Source organism: Homo sapiens, chromosome 6 (assembly GCF_000001405.40).
Source record: "Homo sapiens chromosome 6, GRCh38.p14 Primary Assembly".
Lineage (NCBI taxonomy): Eukaryota > Metazoa > Chordata > Mammalia > Primates > Hominidae > Homo > Homo sapiens.
In genome coordinates, this window is record NC_000006.12 from 142,768,229 (window position 1) to 142,787,221 (window position 18,993).

General features: G+C 39.9%; 1 protein-coding gene across 14 annotated transcripts in view; it reads right to left on the reverse strand.

Moving 5' to 3' along the window:
- The window catches only part of HIVEP2 (HIVEP zinc finger 2), a 194,265-nt gene that overhangs the window by 16,760 nt on the left and 158,512 nt on the right, over nt 1-18,993 (reverse strand). For all 14 annotated transcript variants that reach the window (NM_001438449.1, NM_001438450.1, NM_006734.4 and 11 more), the window contains 4 exons: nt 15,293-15,387; nt 7,919-7,963; nt 1,324-6,897; nt 154-308 (listed from right to left, as the gene is read on the reverse strand). In NM_001438449.1, coding sequence (NP_001425378.1) covers nt 154-308; nt 1,324-6,510 — 5,342 coding nt within the window. In that variant the 5' untranslated portion in view covers nt 6,511-6,897; nt 7,919-7,963; nt 15,293-15,387. The remainder of the gene's footprint in view (nt 1-153; nt 309-1,323; nt 6,898-7,918; nt 7,964-15,292; nt 15,388-18,993) is intronic.

The following is an 18,993-nucleotide window of genomic DNA, read 5'->3' on the forward strand; positions in this document are numbered from 1 at the left end:
TCTATTACCAGCCAGAGTTCAGAACTGTGAATAGAAAAGGAATTTACTTTCAGCTTTCAACCAGATTAGACAGTACCTTTTCCATGCAGACATTCTGGACCATTTACTCTGACCTATAACTGCACATTTTACATTTGCACTTTGTTTCCTTACCCTCCTTCAAATATTTTAATTCGGATTGGCTCAGTTTGTTTGGATCCAATATCTTTATCTCCATGAATATCTCCTTTCCCTCTTTCCTTTAAGATATTTCCCACTAGTTTCCTTTCTAGTTTGCTGCCAAATAAAAAGGACGCATCAGGTTTCATCTGTAAGACAAGAAGAGAGAATCATTTCACATGCTTTCTCCAAGACACAGGAGCCCCTATGTCCCACTCTTCCATCATCTCTGAAAATGAGCCTAAATTCTGTACTAAAAGGCCAGGAACTAGTTATATAAAATAAGGACCACTAGGGATAAAATCAGATAAGAATGACAGTTTCCACTGAATAAATTCAACATTCTGTTACAGCTATATATAATAAGTACATATATTATATATAAAAATATATAGATACACATATACACTCAGCACTCTGTGCAATGCTAATACTTAAAAGACACATTCTATGTTTTGAAGTAGCAATGAAAACAATCTATATTAATTAAGGAAGTAGTCTCAAAAATTATTGAAGGGAAAATGGTAACTGATAAAAGTGAAAACATATTTTTAAATCCTCTATTTGCCTCCTTATTAATTTAGCAGAAATTTCAAAATTCCCCTTAATATTTTTATAATTTTACATGGAAGGCATTGATGGTTCTTGTAGGAATAAACCAGCCAGCAACTTGGAAAAATAAGTTTTGAAGGAGACAGATGTCTCGTCAATGAGAGTAAGCCCTGCAGCATTTGCAAAGCTCGGTCCTCCTTCTTCGTCTTTCCTTTCAGCCTCCATTCCCTGCTCTATGGCCCACTTCACAATTCCCTGAATTCCTCACATCCAGAGAAAATTAGACCTGCTAGGTCACTCACAAAGGTCAGAAGGAAAATAACCCATGGGAATTAATCCCAGTGGTAGGATTTCATGGCACCCAAATTTTTAAATTTTAAAAGCATAAATGTAGGCTTTTTCTTCTGAAAATGGACCATGCCTGAGACCTCAGAACCAAGTGCAGTCAGTGGCTTCTTCCACTCCTGAGTAAGGCCAGACTTTCTGAAAACGCCCCCACACTGACCTTCATTTTACTTGTATTTTTTTTTTAGGCCTTATATCCTTCACTATGTAGTCTGCTCAGCAATCAAATCCACAATACAAAGTTCTTCCTAAAACAGTATTTGTTACCTGAGTAAACTGCTTCCAAGCACTTGATGATGTAAGCTTGCCGGTTCCAGGCCTATGCATAGCAGCCAGAGTATAAATTTCTGCAGTGATTTTTTGCTTGGACCTCAGAAGAGCCAGCGTGGTCTTGGTGTTCAATCCTGATGGGTTTGGATTACAGGAACTAATGCACCATGAAGCATAAACCGAGGATTTGAAGGTGGCCTGTTGCACATAATTGGGTTTTGTATAATTCAAGAAGCACCAACTCACAGTAGTTGTTGTCCGCAGACTGGGGAACTGAAGAATCTGCTGGAAATCTGCCATGTCCGTGAGAAGAAGAGTTGAGTCTGCCACGTTCCCGCTGGGGGCAGAGGCCATGCGGACCAGCATGCCAACAGGCCGCTTGTGGCCCTTCCCTTCCTCTTCCAGCTGACCATCTCCTGCTGGTAATGAAGAACTCTGTGGGCTCATGCTCATGTCCGATGCCGTCTCATCGATATCTAATTCATCTGAAGATTCTTTGCTTTCAGAAGGCCCACTGGACTTCTGCCCCGGAAGTGGTGCCCGGGAACCGGAAAGCATCTCCTTGCTGGGCAGGAATGGCTCCCTGGAAGACGGGCTAACAGAAGGATAGTCTTGAGATGAGGAGGGCGACAGCGAGGAGAAGGAAGATGACCCTGACTGCAAGCCATCTTTTGGCTCAGAAGCACATCCTTGTCGAACCAGCTGGGGTTTCTGGGGGCGGGAGAGGTCCTTTTTGATGTCTGAGTTGGTCAGCTCCACAGCACTAAGCTCCTCCACAATCTGTCCGTACATCTTTTCTTCTTTGACCCTTTTCTGCTGCTTGGTTTCCATGAAGAGCTCCAAGCTACTGGCTGGAGAAAGCATTCGCTTGCTACCTCCCAGGGTGGCCACGCTGTCAGAGGTGGAAGGTAAACACAAGGGGATGGAGGATTCTAAGCCGAGGGGCAAAGTCTGAGGTGCTTTCCAAATGGGGTACTTCTCCAAGCCCGCATGCTGCCCCAGCACCTGGGCAATGTTGAATCCTATCCCTTGCATGGCTGCGTTGGTGACCAGTGTCCTTTGGGTCATATTCTCATCGACTTTGCATATGACAATGGCAGGGCTATTCTGCCCAAGTATCTGAGAAATGCTTGTGTACATGACACTTCCATAGGATGGTACGTGCGTCTGGATCCGAACAGGAACCACTGTTCCTGGGAGGGACTGCAAAGACCCAGCATTTGCCGAGGCAAAATCTTCTTGAAGAACCTGCTCAGAGGGCGTTTCAGTTGACTTACTGCTCTGGTCTGATGGAAACTTTGGAAGAAGGTTCTTTGGGTGTAGCCCTGATGCTCCTGAATAACATGGGTAGGTCTGCTCTTTCGTGTGTGCATACTCAGCAGGTTTCTTTCCAGTGTGCTCTGCCACATGCTCTAAGGGATAGCTCGAATGGATTTCTGTCTGAAAAGAGGGCTTGCCATAGCTCTTCTGAGGGTGCTGAGCAAAGGGATGTGGGAAATGTGCCTGCCACCAGGGAGGCTGCTGAGCTGGTAAATGAACCATACAAACTGTAGGATACTGAAACTGAAACAAGGCATTCTGGATTGGAGAAAATGGAATTGTCTCTTGATGTGGAAATAAGTGTGGCTGTTCAGGTAAGTGCTTGCTTGTCATATAGGATGTTGGTTGGATCAAGGGATTTCTCAAAGATTCCTGACTGTCCATGTGCATGATCTGTGGCTGGGCCAGGTGCAGTGGCCCCGAGCTCAGCGGGGGACAAGGACCCGCCACCTGCTTCCCTGGGTCCTCTTGCTGAAGAGGAGGCAGCACAGCAGGCGGGCCATGGTGCCACCCGGACCGGAGGCCAGCATGCAGGTGCTCCAGCTGCTCTTGCTTCACGCTCTGATCCATGCCAACCTCGCCCTGGGAGATTTCTGGGGAGCCACTGAAGGAAGCTTGCCGCACCAGAAAGCATTTCTTCCTCTCCCTGGACGGTGATACCGTGGAGGCTGCTGCTCCCGACACAGGAGCATGGGACAGATTCCCATAATCAAATGATTTGCTCCGAACTTCTGGGACTTCCGCTGGGTGAGGACAAGGCATCTGCTCTGATGAGCAGCGTCGCATCTCTTTCTGGTGGTGATGGCCTGGGACAGACAATGAGTATGAACCAGCAGGGACAGTCAGAAACTCTGAATGCTTCCCAAACTCATCCTGCTTAGGAAGTGCAGAAAGCTTACTGGTTTCTTCTCTTTCAAAAGACATGGAGAAACTGGAGCTGTGGGACAAGTTGCTTTCTTGGCTGGGGCTGCGGGAGAGGCCTGTGCCTGTGGATTCAAAGCTGGACTCCCCTGAGGAGTGCTCCATATCTGCAAGTCGCAGACGCTTCTTTTTGGGTGGCAACTTCTCCGCGGGGAGCTGGGAAAGGGTCTCACTTCTCTGGGGCCACTGAAATTCTTCCACAGGCTTCTCTGGCTCTTTGCTCTGGGCTTCCTTCTCCTTCTCAGGTTTATCAGGCTCCTCGGTCACTCGAATCTCAGGAACCTGGATGTTGTGTTGCCGAACTAGCCTGGGCTGTGTGTGATAGGACTGCTGCTGCACCTGCTGAGATGGAGAGGGTTTCCCCCCACTTTCTGCACCATCCCCAGGTGGAGCCCACTCAGGACTCACTGGGGCTTCTGAAATCTCACTGTCACAAGTCTCTGAAGGGGAAGGGGCTTTATCCTGTGTGCAAGCCACAAGTTCGGCTGACTCAGACCTTTCAAATGAATTGGGTCGGCTCAGTGAGTTGGTGTGCTGAATCACAGAAATCACATTTCCAGGAGGTTTCCTGCCCCCTAGGTCTGACATCTTGTCTGAATCAATGGCTGAAGGTGACTCCTCTGACACAAGAGATGGACTTCCAGGCTGCAGTTGGGGCCGACATGGGTCAAAGCGTTCCGTGTGACCATGAGAAAGGTTTTCGTGTCCAGCCATGGCAAATCCACTCCTGACTCCTTCCTGCATCTGCAGTTTGGGGTCATAATCGGAAGCCATGATGCCCACAGGAGTGCTTACAATGCTGCTGCAGATCATGGGCGTGTCCTCTTCATCCCCTACGCTCTTCTCTTTCCGGCGTTTCCTGTTTTCACAGGTAGTTCCAAACATGCTTGGTACTCCCTGCAATGGCACCACGGGATCCATGAAATATTCTCCACCATGCTTTAAAGAACTCAAGCAGGAAATGTCCCTGTAGTTTTGCTTTGGTGTTTCAGAGTCCTCCCACTTCTTATAGGGTTTCCGACAGACATCATAGTCATACCCAACCCTGTCCCCAGGAGACAATTTCTTTTCCTTCAGGGATGAACTGCTGATACCCTTCAACATCCTGCCATGGTGCTCGACTTCCACGTGGCCCTCCTGTACCGAAGGCAGCTCAAATGCCGCTTGTCTTCTTAGCATGCGCTGAGGGGGTATGCCCACGGTCCCTGGATAGAATACATCGTCGGAACCAGTCATCCTTTCATCAAATGAGTGACTTCCTCTCAAAGAAGGAGGAATAGTTAGATTAGTTGCTGAAGAAGTTGGCACTGAGTTGCTTCTAATAAGGGGTGAAGAGTCTACAGGAGCTTCTAAGAGAACCGGGTTGCTGCCTTGGAAGTTTGCTGGATAAAGTTTTCCTTCGTTCCTGATAGATGATGGAATAATCTGGGGTTGTCTGGACTCACTGTTGAACTTAGTGGATTTCAGCATGCTCGTTTGACTGGGGTCGACATCTCCCTTGCTTGGGATCAGCTGTGAAACAGGATCTTCAAACATCTTGACATCTAACCTGGTGTTAACGTGAGGTAATGGTTCCATTATGCCCTTCCTACCCATTGCGGCACGCTCCTGACTTGTGGTTGTAACACTGAGTGCATTTCTCGGACTAAGCCGACAGTATTTTCCAAAGATGATTTCTTCATAAGACTTTGCATTTGTGTTGGGAGGGCTTATTTGCTGCTCAGCACTTTCTGAGCGAGAAAAGTAACCAGAATCAGTGCTTCCTTTACTGTGCGGGCTCAGAAGGTTGAGCGATGGCTCAGAATCTTGTCCTTTTTTCTCTGACAGTCTTAGTGCAAGTTTCTGTTTGACTGTGTGCGAATCATCAGCCTTAGTATTTAAAGATGGATTTGGTAGCATATCAGGGCCAATATACTGAGAGCTTTCATTAGGGAGAGGAATCCCACTTTTAGGGATAATCAAAATCGGCACCTTCATTGGACCTCCCAATGATTCTTCCAATGACCCATGATAGCCGCCTCTGCTGGCAATGTCCAGTGGGATGGGTGGACCAGGACTCATTTTGTCAGAAGCCTCGGCAAATAAAGAACTCTCCTCATCTGTGTCTGTACTCTGTTCACCATCTGAATGTATTTCTGCTTCTACATCAATAAAACCAGCCTCTAGGTCCAATTTAGATACAGCTGACTCTGTGAAAGGTACTAATCCTGCCTTAATTGCATGGGCATGTGACTTCCTGTGCTTGTACAAATTGCTCTTTGTCTTGAAAGAGAAACCACAAGGTATACATGGATATGGCCGCTCCCCAGTATGGGACCTGATGTGTTTTTTCAGTACACTAGGTTTGGCACACGCTCTGCTGCAGTAAGGGCAAATGTACTTGCCAGGCTTTTTGGGTTTGTGCTCTTTCTTGTGAGCCTCTTCTGCCTGTTCAATACTTTTCTGGGAGTATTGGCTATAAGCAGGGTTCAGACTTGAAATCTTTTTTCTAGGATAACCACCACTGTGGCCATGTATAGGAAAAGGAAATAAGTCCTCAGAGGCAACGGATGGCAAAGGGCCAGGGAAAAGCCACGGAGGACCTTCGAGGCTCTGATGTGGCTTGGTGCTGTGCATGACCCCCTGTGGCAATGAGTGCTGAGGGAAAGAGAGTGAGTGTTGGCATGAGTAAGGACTCGGACGATGCGGTGGATATTGCTTCTCTGCGACTTGCTGCACCACTTCACTAGGGGAGGCCAGTTTCCCAGAACCAAACAGTTGTGCTGATGCTGTGTTTCCGATTTGCTCAGGCTCTATTTGTGGTTGCCGCTGTCCTTCATGACTGCCAAAAGTGCTCATCTTAATAACAGCTGATTGTTCCTGTCTCCATCTACCTGATGCTTTATCAGTTTCTCCAGACCTTGAGGTAGCTTTTTGTCCTAGAGCTGTGTCCCCAGTGTCCATTTTGTTACACAAGGTCTTAAGTGCTAGTTCCCCTGAAAGCAGTGCAGACTCATGGAGTGTCTCCAAAGCTGTGCTTCTTAAAGCTTGGTTGCTTCCATGTTCCAGGGTGTCTGCAAACTTGCTGATTGCTCCTTCTCTTTGGAACCTTCCACACGCACACCACAGTCGATGGGCATTAGCTAGTAATGTCCTTGGACCAGGGCTATAACACAGTTCTCTCCATTGTAGAAACGTCCATCCAAAAGCTAAGTGCAAATCTATAAAGATTTCTTATGGCATTTGAAAATTTTCAACTAGGATGAAATTGGGATGATGAATAGTCTAGGAGAAATTTTGCCCATCAACTAGAGCAAAGTTCAATTGCCAGTTTCACTAAGATAAAATGATCTGAAGAAAAAGAAAATACAAAGAGATTGTCATAACAGTTTCAAATAAGAAACCAAAAAAAAAAAAAACCTAACTAACCAACCAGAAATTAGATAAATTTGAAATGTTTTTTACTCCAAGGAATTATTTTTATTGAGATTACATTAATTCCACAATTAAAATATATTAATTTCAAACTCAGCATTAAGTCATGAACATAAGTCTCTTCCATGTTTGAATTTTGGTCACTCTTTTAAATACTTTTTAACTTTAGAAAACCATTTGAAGGAAAATCCTTGATGGATATTATCTACAAAAGTATAAGGTTTTAGAAAGCCCCATTAAAAAAAAATAGAGCTATTCCTAACCAAGTTTTATGACTTGTATGCCAAAGTGTATTACATATCTCTATATAGAGATATGTTTTATAGCTTAATACAAACAATATGTGGCCAGGCATGGTGGCTCACGCCTGTAAACCCAGCATTTGGGGAGGCTGAGGCAGGTGGATCACGAGGTCAAGAGACTGAAACCATCCTGGCCAAAATGGTGAAACCCCGTCTCTACTAAAAATACAAAAATTAGCTGGGTGTGGTGGCATGCACCTGTAGTCCCAGCTACTCGGGAGGCTAAGGGAGGGGAATTGCTTGAACCCGGGAGGCAGAGGTTGCAGTGAGCTGACATCATGTCACTGCACTGCAGCCTGGCGACAGAGCGAGACTCCATCTCAAAAAAAAACCATATATATAGTTACATATTAATATAAAATATAAATATAACATAGTATACATATAAGCATACATATATGATACATGTTTTATAAAATACATAATTCATAAAGTATTATATATTACTATAAAGTATAACTATATTTTACAGCTTAAAATCAGTGATTAATAAAATGACATCAAGGCTATAAGAATTAGATGTCACAGAACTTTGGAAAAGATAAAAGGGTGCATCTAAACAAAACAATTATAAAGTCTTCTTAATATAGAAAACAAAGCATATTTCTAGGACAGTTTAAAAACGAAATGATTACCTGAACAGTTTAGAGTTCTTATGGGCATGATTGTCCTGACGCTTCCTGGATACAAAATAAATGCAGTTAGGGAAAATTGTTCCATTAAACCTTACCATCGATATATACAAATACAAATTCCAATTTCCAGTTCATTATATAAAGGGTTCACAATGCTATGTACCCTAAAACGAAAGCAAGAAACTGCTTCAGAAAGCATTACACCAGAAGAGTAAACCTTACACTGACACTGTGACTCAAAAATAACTCAGAGAAAATATTATAAAAACATCATAGTAATATTTTCTAAGACATAAGATTATTATATATGAAACATCTTAGTTACTTAAATGTAATCAGCCTAGTTCTAATTCCCTAGATATTAAAAGTTGAGATACAGGCGTTTTTTGTTTTGTTTTTTTTGAGATAGAGTCTCACTCTGGTGCCCAGGCTGGAGTACAGTGGTGCAATCACTGCTCACTGCAGCCTCGACCTCCCTGAGCTCAGGCGATCCTCCCACCTCAGGCTCCCAAGTAACTGGGACTAAAGGCATGCACCACTACATCCATCTAATTTTTGTATTTTGTTGTAGAGATGAGCTCTTGCCATATTGCCCAGGCTGGTCTCAAACTCCTGGGCTCAAGCAATCTGCCCATCTTGGCCTCCCAAAGCGTTAGGATTATAGGTGTGAGCCACCTCGCCTGGATGAAAATAGTGGGTTTTTTTTTCTGATAGGTTTGAATGTTTATGTTTAAAAGAATAAATTTCCCTTTTAGGAAATTTACATCATAGCAAAGTGAAGGAGTCCTCTAGATGATGGCGTATGGCTCAGGAAGACTTGACAACTAAGTAATCGTTCAATTTTAAGTGAATACTCAACTTCCTTAGGGGAGTGTTCAATGAGGTACCCAGAGGATTCTGAGAACTTCAATGATAAACTGTATCCACTGTCATAGAACCTCAGATGTTTCCTTGATAGGCAATGTGTCCGTTTATCAAAATAAAAAAGATCATACACATTGACCTAGAAATTCCACTGCTGGAAATATATCCTTACAGGTGTACTTGCACAAGCGCACACCAATATATATGTACAAGAACCGCTTAAATAAATTATGGCTCAATGATAAAACTGAGGCATTTAAAATAAATAAAGTACAGCTATAAGTACCAATATAGAAACTTGTTCAGGGGATAGTAACATTAAATGCAAGAAAAGCTTATTGCACCCTAGTACGAAGACACATTGTTAATCCTATGGGTGAAAAAGAGGAACAGTTGATCAACAGAAAATTCCTGTGAGGATGCCAGGCAGCATTGGCACCAGCCTGACCAACATAGAGAAACCCTGTTTCTACTAAAAATATAAAAAATTAGCCAGGCGTGGTGGTGCATGCCTGTAATCCCAGCTACTTGGGAGGCTGAGGCAGGAGAATTGTTTGGACCCGGGAGGCAGAGGTTGCAGTGAGCCAAGATCGAGCCATTGCATTCCAGCCTGGGCAACAAGAGCAAAACTCCATCTCAAAAAAAAAAAAAAAAAAAAAAAAAAAAAAAAAAAAAAAAGTGGAACCTGGGATTCAGAGGAAGAGGAAAGAAAGGATTTTTACCTTCCATCTCATGACTTTCAGTAAGTTTAATTTTTGTTTATTTTTCTTAACATGAGCATGTTTATCTTTTTAAATAAAACACTAGTTAATAATTTTTTAAAATGCTACCATGCAGATGTACTGCAGATTCCTAAAGCGAAACTCAAATAGTAGTCTTACTTCCATGGGCAATTTTCTCCCTAACATCGAATTTGACTGTGATGATGATGATGACAGAAGTTGCACTTTGAGAGGGGAAAAGCACCCGGAAATTCCCACAGGAACGGTAAGTCTTTTGGGTGAGAAATCAGTAGCCCCCAGATATTTGTAGTAAGACATCTGTACTCAAAGATTCCTTCTGTTAATGGCCATGAAGCCTAAGAGATTTGTAAAGCAGCAGTCAAAATACTAAACAAAGATATTAATCTCAGTTTGCTAAAAAGTTTTGCTATTGGATTTAATTTTTTGCTGTGCAATAATTTTCTTTAGCATCCCTCTGCAGGAAATGAGGCAAAAACGAAACACAAATGATAGTCTCATAATATTCCAATGCAAATTTCCTTGTGTCAATTCCAGGAACCATGCTAACAAGAAGAAGACACAATGTTGAATCTAAATTGGCTGACTGTGTTTAATTAACTAAATATTTAAGGTTCATGTAGACACAACCTCTGCCAGACTTGTAGAGGTAAATAAATACCCTCTAAAATGGAAATATACTACATTTTCAATTCAAGACAAGCATGTATGAATCCTCAATTAGGACTCAGAGCTTGAAGTGAATAATTTCTAAGTTATTTTTCAGATTTAATATTTTATCATGGTATTGATCTATGTATGCAGTTTCATTGTTAATTATAACAATGATAATGACTGTCATTTACTATATATTTACCATGGGCTGATACATACTGTTAAAGAGTTTCATATACATTGTCTTATTTTATCTTCATTATACCTCTATGCTAAGGGTATTATTACACCTATTTTACAGTTGAGAATGATTCTTAGAGAGGTTGGGTTTCAGAATCAAAATTCAGATCTAAATTTGGTGACTTCTAAGTCTGGGAGGACTCACCACTACTCTCCATTAAGTTTTATTACAACTTAAAATAATACATCTTCAATAATATCTTCATCTAAATATTTCCACTTAACTTTAATATATGAAATGTCTCAACTTTTAATGGTTCTGAGAGAATATAAATGAGCTCTGCATGTTTGTAGTACAAAAAATGGCCCCAAAATGCCATTTCCTAGAAATAAAAAAATCCATAATTTAAATAATGTTCAAAATATGTATATTAAGTATTAATGAGAACAGCTTCTTGTAAGACCATAATAAAGTCTCATGCCAGACTGTTTTCTTTTGTTCTTTGAAAATCATTACTTTTATTTTTAGAGGAGGGGGGTCTCACTTTCTTGTCCAGGCTGGACTCAAACTCATGGGCTCAAGGGATCCTCTGGGCCCTGCTTCCCAAGTAGCTCCTAAGCCACTGTGCCCAGCTTGGAAATCATTAGTTTTAAGGAAAATAAGAACCTTACAAGTGAAAATCAGGTATGTATCATTTTCTATCTTTTGGTTGACACAGAATATATAATTTTGCTCAAAACATAAACTTCAGGGGCTGGGCATGGTGGCTCATGCCTGTAATCCTAGCACTTTGAGAGGTGGAGGCAGGTGGATCGCTTGAGCTTAGGAGTTCGAGACCAGCCCAGGCAACATGGCAAAACACCGTCTCTACAAAAAATACAAAAATTAGCTGGGTATGGTGGCGTGTACCTGTAGTCTCAGCTGCTCAGGAGGCTGAGGTGGGAGAATCACCTGAGCCCAGCAGGTCGAGGCTGCAGTGAGCTATGATTGCAGCACTGCACTCCAGCCTGGGGAAAAGAGTGAGACTATCTCAAAACAAACAAACAAACAAAACAAAAAACAGCATAAACTTCAAGTAATAAGTACATACAATTTTATAAAAAACAGGGTTGGAATAATTTATTTCATAAGTTATTCAATAAAATATAATGTTTTCACTTAGCAATGAGGTAATACCTTTATAAATCAGACATTTAATTTTTATGGTATAAAATAATAAAACCATTCTTATACACTAAGGGCATATCATATAGTAAATGCATCAAATAAAATTCAGAAATAATATTTTGCTACCAGAGAATACACCAGAAGTTGAAAAAAAGTGACTTACACAAAATTCAAAACCAGATACCTCATGGTCAGAACAAAACATGTCTAGACCATTAAGTTAATTGTTTAATTTTTAGGAGAAGGAGGATAATCAGAAAAAAAGTCTTATCTATCACTTTATTTTAAAAAATAATTTTGCTAAGTTTAACATAGGATCTTTCTATATTCCAACAGCATTTATTATCCAGAAAGTTTTTAAGATTCAAAACATTAACTCAATTATGCAAATAGCTTCTGTCAAGAAAATCTCTTCCTTTTAAATTTCTAAGACAAGCCTACCCGAGATGCCCCACCATTTTACCAGGAAGCTAGGTGATATCCCACGCCATGCTTTCTCTCCTGGGTTGTGCGGGAAGAGCTTCCATCTTTGTGCCTAAGCTGGAGGTCCCAGCACTACAGGGACCCCTCCTCTGATCCACAATGTCTAGTTTTTCACTTCAGTGAAAGGCTTATTAGGGAACTAGAAATCATGCTTATTTCACATGAACTTTCACATTTGATTTGAAACATGTTTGAGGATGTCTTTTTCTCTCCAACACTATCCTTGGGGAGCCTTTGACTAACTGCTATCCATAAAATCACGTCTCTTCTTGGAGTTTCTGAGACATATAAAGAAAGGTAGGTGGGAGAGAAAGTGAGCGATGGCTTCTTTTAGAATTTATTGATCATATTTATGAACCATTAAAAATATGGACTATTTGTATTTGTCACTTTTCTACAGCTGCTTTATCCTGGAAACTGAAAAGATTCTGCAATGGAAATTGTGTGCATCATAATCTATTACTGAACATGGCATGACTTTCTCTTTAAAAACAAGCAGGATTTGGGAGGGTTTGAAAGTTTCTCTGCTACTCCACTCATGTTATACTGAGGAAAATAAATTCACTTTAAAAACAATAGGGTTTTCAAGATTAGATAATGGCATTTGTCTTGTTTTGTTAGGTGACACTTTTACTAAGCAACTTAACTCTTCCAAATGGCATAAATTCTTGAGCTTACATTTTATTACTAAAATGTATAAAAATGCTTATAGATAACAAAACATTTTTAAAAGTATGTTAGATAAGGAAATCTACATTAAATGAATCATTAAGTCAGGAAAATACTTTCTTTGGACTTCATAACATTATTACAAGTCATTAAATGTACCATTGTATCTACCTGCAATTTTAGTTTAATTTCTGCAACAGAGATCCACTTAGAACTATAAAGATCTATAGTAATATGGTTAATTATAGCTACAGTATTTCTCTATGACTGTGTAGAGTCAATTCATTTTTCAGATTCTCTAATATTTCATTAAAATATATACCAGGTTTCCTAATCAATTGATATATCAAAAAATGCAGTATGAGAGTAATTCTCATATGAAAACAGCGAGTCGTCACTTTATTCACTGAGATTTCCTTTTATGGTAACCAAACCCACACAAAGTCATTTTTGGCACCCACTGCCAACAAAGGAGCGGAATTCCAAATACAGTTTTGCATTCACAGTTAAAATTTTCTCTAGTGGGTTTTAAGTGCTATGAAAGGAGTAAGATAATTTACTGGAGAATAAAACTCAGGGGATATGACTTTGGGTTTCCTGTGGATGCTGCTACAGCCCACAGGAGTCCTCTAGTCAGTAAAGACAGACATTGTCTGGCAGGCTCATCACACTTTTCAGAGGGGGATCATGTTAAAAAAGAGATTACCTCTGCATGGCTATTTCAGTGGTAATGGAACTAAAGGAACTGAAGCGAAAGAAAATGATATTACAGGGAAGAGCAGGCATTCTTCTAGAAGTGTGCCCTCTCCTTTGGCCACTCTTCAGAGTCCCACTCAAATAAGTTTGGCACCCAGTTAAATAATTTCCCCAGACAGGGTCCCAAAGGAAAGACACATAAACAGCCTCCTAGATGGACCTCCTCAGAGGTCTCTTCAGGATAACGGCTGGGTGGGATTGGCAGGAAGACAGGCTTACTCTGCAGAGGAATAAAGACCTACAGTACCCAGGGTTGTCAATCTGGGATCTTTTGCTTAGGAAAACATTATCTCAGAAAAAAACCTTACCTCAGGAAATTAATCATTACTTGAGTGGTGGCAAAAGTCAAGTGAGCATTAAATAATGACATCCTAAATAATGACGGTATACAATGACTGGCAGCAAACACGGCTTCTCCACTTCCAACATTTTAATAATAAAACATTTTTAAAAATGTAAATGGTCACTTGGTCTTTTCTTGAGGATTTGGTGGTATGACACTTCTAAACATTTCGTCTTTTGTTGAGGATTTGTGGTTTGACACTTGTAAACAAAATACGTGTCTTATGGTAATAATTAGTGAATGACATTTTAGAAGGGACATCATTGTATTTGTTATTAAAGTGCCACAGATCAGTTGTAAAATCTTTAAAAAATACATGAACATCTCGGGGCATTGTAGTTGTAACATTGATCCCACGAGTCACTTAGACACTCATTGCCCAACCACCGCTCAGAGCATATATGCTCAGAGAGTATGGGATGAGGGGAAAAAGGAACTACCAAGAAAGAAGGCGTGATGAGTGCCAGAGTCCAGCTGAATAAAGACTTATTTCCACAGGATGATTTTTAAAAAGGTGGCTTCCTGAGAGCCAAATTCATTATAAAGGCTTCTTTTAGTAAAAATTCCCATAACAACCTCAGTTCTCTCCAAAATGAGCAAGTTGTCTATATGGAGAAAACTCTATTATATACAATCCTGCCAAGCAATTCAGAAAACTTTTGGAGAAAAGTAAAAATACTGTGATGATCATCCTCTAATTTGATGTAATTAAAATCTAATTTGATATTTAAAGCCTAATGAGAAACAAACATATTTTTTCACATGGGCTGCAATGCAGGCATCATTGCATATATTTGTAGAGTTTGCCTATTTAGTCAAGATATTTATGACTTATTTTGGCTACAGCATGCTGCTTTTAATATTTTGTCATACCTTTTAAAATAATTTTTTAAATTGTGATTTCACTTTTCTACTGAGATGTTTTCTCATTATACAGCAAAAGTTATTAGGATTCACTAAGTAGAGTCTAACATGAAAATAAACTTTGTCAGAAATAAATTCTGTCGAATAATGCTATTTTAATTATAACAATGATAATTAATTATAATTAAGATTGGTGGGCTGGGTGCAGTGGCTCACGCCTGTAATCCCAGCACTTTGGGAGGCCGAGGTCAAGAGATCGAGACCATCCTGGCCAACATGGTGAAACCCTGTCTCTACTAAAAATACAAAAATTAGCCGGGCATGGTGGCAGGTGCCTGTAGTCCCAGCTACTTGGGAGGCTGAGGCAGAAGAATCACTTGAACTCGGGAGGCAGAGGTTGCAGTGAGCCAAGATTGTGCCACTGCACTCCAGCCTAGCGACAGAGCAAGACTCCGTCACAAAAAAAAAAAAAAAAAAAAAAAAAGACTAGTCTACTATGAAAAACAAAATACAACAAAACAACACTTTTCTCTCTAGATGGAAAATATATTGTTTCCTCCCTCCAGTTTATATATGAGTCCATAGTAGGCCAAAACAGCTTTTCAAGTTTAATGTAACAAGAGAGTAAGAATAAATAAATTTTAGTTATTAACCTGTTATCCTCATATCAAAAAACTGCATCACAACCGTCTTTGATTTCCAAGATGCCAACTCTCCTCACAGGAACTCATGCACAACTTCTGGGAATCTAAAAGATGAATAAGAAGATTTAAAAGATGATGACATCTGTAATGAATTTAATAAGCACGCTCATTCTTCTTCACTCACAGAACCTGCCTTCCTTTAGGAAAGAAAATTTGGAACTGGATCTCTCAAGAAGCTTTTTTTTTTTGCCCCCAGGAAAGAATTTCCTTTCTTTTAACATAGTTTAAATCTTTTGAATAAATACTTGTAATTAAAGGGAATTCCCTGTAACAGTGAAATGCTAGAGTTAAAACTTCAAGTACCAGCACTAGAAATTGTGTCATTGTAGTCCATGATACGGTTCTGCCACAAAGCTGAGATTTCTACAGAACTTCTTTGGGTGTATTAGCAACTAAACCTCGCAGGATGAAGTCTCAGATAACCTTGTTGTAAATTTGTTTCTATAGTTTATTTCAGCAATGTTATACTTTGTGCTAAAATTAAATTCTGAAATAGGAATCCAAACCCAACCAAAGCAAAATTCAGACTTTAAAAGTCTAGTAAGTAATGAAGAAAGGAACTTTTCATATATGGAATTAATATTTATTCAAGTATGATCCAAAGAAATGCATGGAAGATCAAACTACCTAATCTGAATAGATTAATCAACAATCTTAACAGAGTTTATCTCCCAGTATAAAAGACCTACTTAAAAATAATATTATAATACCCATAATCGTATATTTGTTATTTTTTTAAAAAAATCGCCCTTTTGTCCTGACAAGTTATTACAAAACTCCCATAAGAATAACTAAAGCATTAAAACATAACAGTTAAAGTGTGCTTTCCTGCAGTACCACTTCATGTGAACATTCAAAGTGCTTAAAGGAAGTAGTTTGCTTCAGTTTCCCCCTCCTTTCTGCACACCACTGCAGTAGCACTTCAGGACACCCTGTGCACTTGAGACATGAATCATTATAAGCAAGTAGGCCCACTCGGTTCCTCAAAAGACACAAAAGGTGCAAAAATAGCTTCTGCAATTGAAGCAAGAACCACGTCAGTAACCAGATGAATGTGGGTGGTCACATAAGATTCTGGTGCTGCAAAGGGCAAATTATTAAGCAAATGCTAGATTTATTTTCTTTTTTAAACTTTATTCTTCTTGCCTCAAATCAACCGTTTGCTGGCACTCAAAGTGACACCTGACAAGGTCTACTATTCTCAAAATTGAAACTTTCATCAATGCTAAAGAGCATGATTCATTAACATAGAAGGAATAGAGATGATATCCTAAAAAATATACATTTTCTATAAGATAATTAACTATATCTCTATCTATCTATCTATTTTTTTTGAGACGGAGTCTTGCTCAGTCACCCAGGCTGGAGTGCAGTGGCGCGATCTCGGCTCACTGCAAGCTCTGCCTCCCGGGTTCACGCCATTCTCCTGCCTCAGCCTCCCAAGTAGCTGGGACTACAGGCACCCACCACCACGCCCAGCTAATTTTTTTGCATTTTTAGTAGAGATGGGGGTTTCACCATGTTAGCCAGGATGGTCTCGATCTCCTGACCTCGTGATCCACCTGCCTTGGCCTCCCAAAGTGCCGGGATTACAGGCGTGAGCCACCGTGCCCGGCCAACTATATCTATATTTTTAACACACTAAATATCACATCTGTTTTAAAAAATCAAATAAAAGCACTTCAAAAAAAACCCACAAAAACTATAATCTAGGCTAAAGTAAAGCATGGCATTCCTCAAAAAAAAAAAAAAAAAAAAAAAAAAAAAAAAAAAAAGAAGAAGAAGAAATCACTGAGTTATTTTGTACTCCAAGCAAAATGCATCCAAGACATAAATGGGCCAAGGTTCTAAAGATGCAGATATTTATACGGAACCTTAACTTGCAGTAGTCAGTGACTACCTGTGACTGGTAATCTCACAGTCACCAAATTAAGAGGCAAGAAGGTAAAAGAAGAGCTTAATTTTCAGTAGGCCAGCACCAACCTCCCTTCCCTTCCAGAAATCATCATTCCTACCAGCAGTCTCCACAGGCAAAACAGAGCACGTGAGTGCCCCCCAACAAGCTCTGATGGGACAGCATTCCCAGTTCTGACTCCGTTTTTCCAGTCTTACTTTCTAAGATGATGGCTACTGGAAATGGTAAACACTCCTTTCATGACATGCACATGTATTTGAAATTGTAGATTACAGAAGAGCCCCCTTTTTACCCGGTAAGAGGATTCAAAAACTGGTTCTGTTGCATCACTCATGACCTTTTAAATGTTTGGGTTTCTCTTGAAGAAGAGAAAAGCAATGGTAATCATGTTATACTTATCCTTACCTTAAAGAAAGTTCCAGATGAGCATGATTTTAAAGCAAAGATGCAAATAATATTAGCATGAAAGATATGATATCAATTGCAGCGTTTTTGCACAAATCATTTTGTTATAAATTGAAATCAGTAATGGCCTCTACATGGGACTTGGTTATTGTTCTTATTGAAATGGAGATATGGAGATGCCATCTCAGAAATTTATTTTTTGCATTAATTTTAAGTGAGTTTTTGTGTCTTTATTTCTCCATCAAAATAAAAGAAAATCCTTTCATCAAACAGCTCTTGAGAATGTACTATGACAACTCATGCTCTTATTCTCAAGAAATCAACAGTTTACATAGTATGCTATTAAAGAAATGGACTAAAGGAGGAAAGATGATTATTTCTTTAACTTTGCTTTTAGGTTATTAGCTTCATAAGAACTTAACAGGCAATGAAACCTTAATATTTAATAAAACAAACAAGTTTTCAGAAATAGTGCTAATGAATCTTGATAAAAATCCAAAGGTCATTTAAAATTCCTTCCTAAATATGAGGTAAAAATTATATTTCACTTCACCACATACAAGATGGTTTTTCTGTCAACCTGCAGGTTAATGGAAGAGACCCTTGAAAATATTTTCCAATCCTCCATCTCCTATTTGTAATAAACACTTGGAAGATTTGAGTATTACTGTTTCTATCCCAGTGGTTTCTCAGCCTTCCCATTCTTAGAAGAAAAAAAATCCTTGGCATTAGTTACTTGTTGTTGGATGCTTATAGGTTATTACTATTAAGCTAAGCAAGAGTCAAGCTACTGATTCATAGATGACAGATAAGATAGACATTTTAAAAATACCCATTGTTAGTGGGGTTGTCTTTTTCCATTCTCTACTTTTCCAAATTGTTTCAAAACAAGTTACAGTTAATGCTTTAATATGACTCTTACATGAATCTAGCAAGAGGTGAAGGTTTCATTGGCAGAACTCTCAAGTACCTCCCATCACCCTTGTTTTTTCTGAGGTTAAATAAATACACACTATATCACAATTTTAGGAGAAGAGCTGATAAGGTAAACCAGTTACACTTTAGATGAGCATTGTCATAATTAAAAACAATAATTATTGGCTGGATGTAGTGGCTCACACCTGTAATCCCAGCACTTTGGGAGGATTGCTTAAGACCAGGAGGTTGAGACCAGTCTGGGCAACAAAGCAAGACCCTATCTCTATAAAAAAAAATTTAAGCAGGTGTGGTGGTGCACATCTGTAGTCCCAGCTGCTTGGGAGGCTGAGGTAAGAAGATCATTTGAACCCAGGAGTTTGGCGCTGCAGTGAGCTATAATTGCACCAGTCTG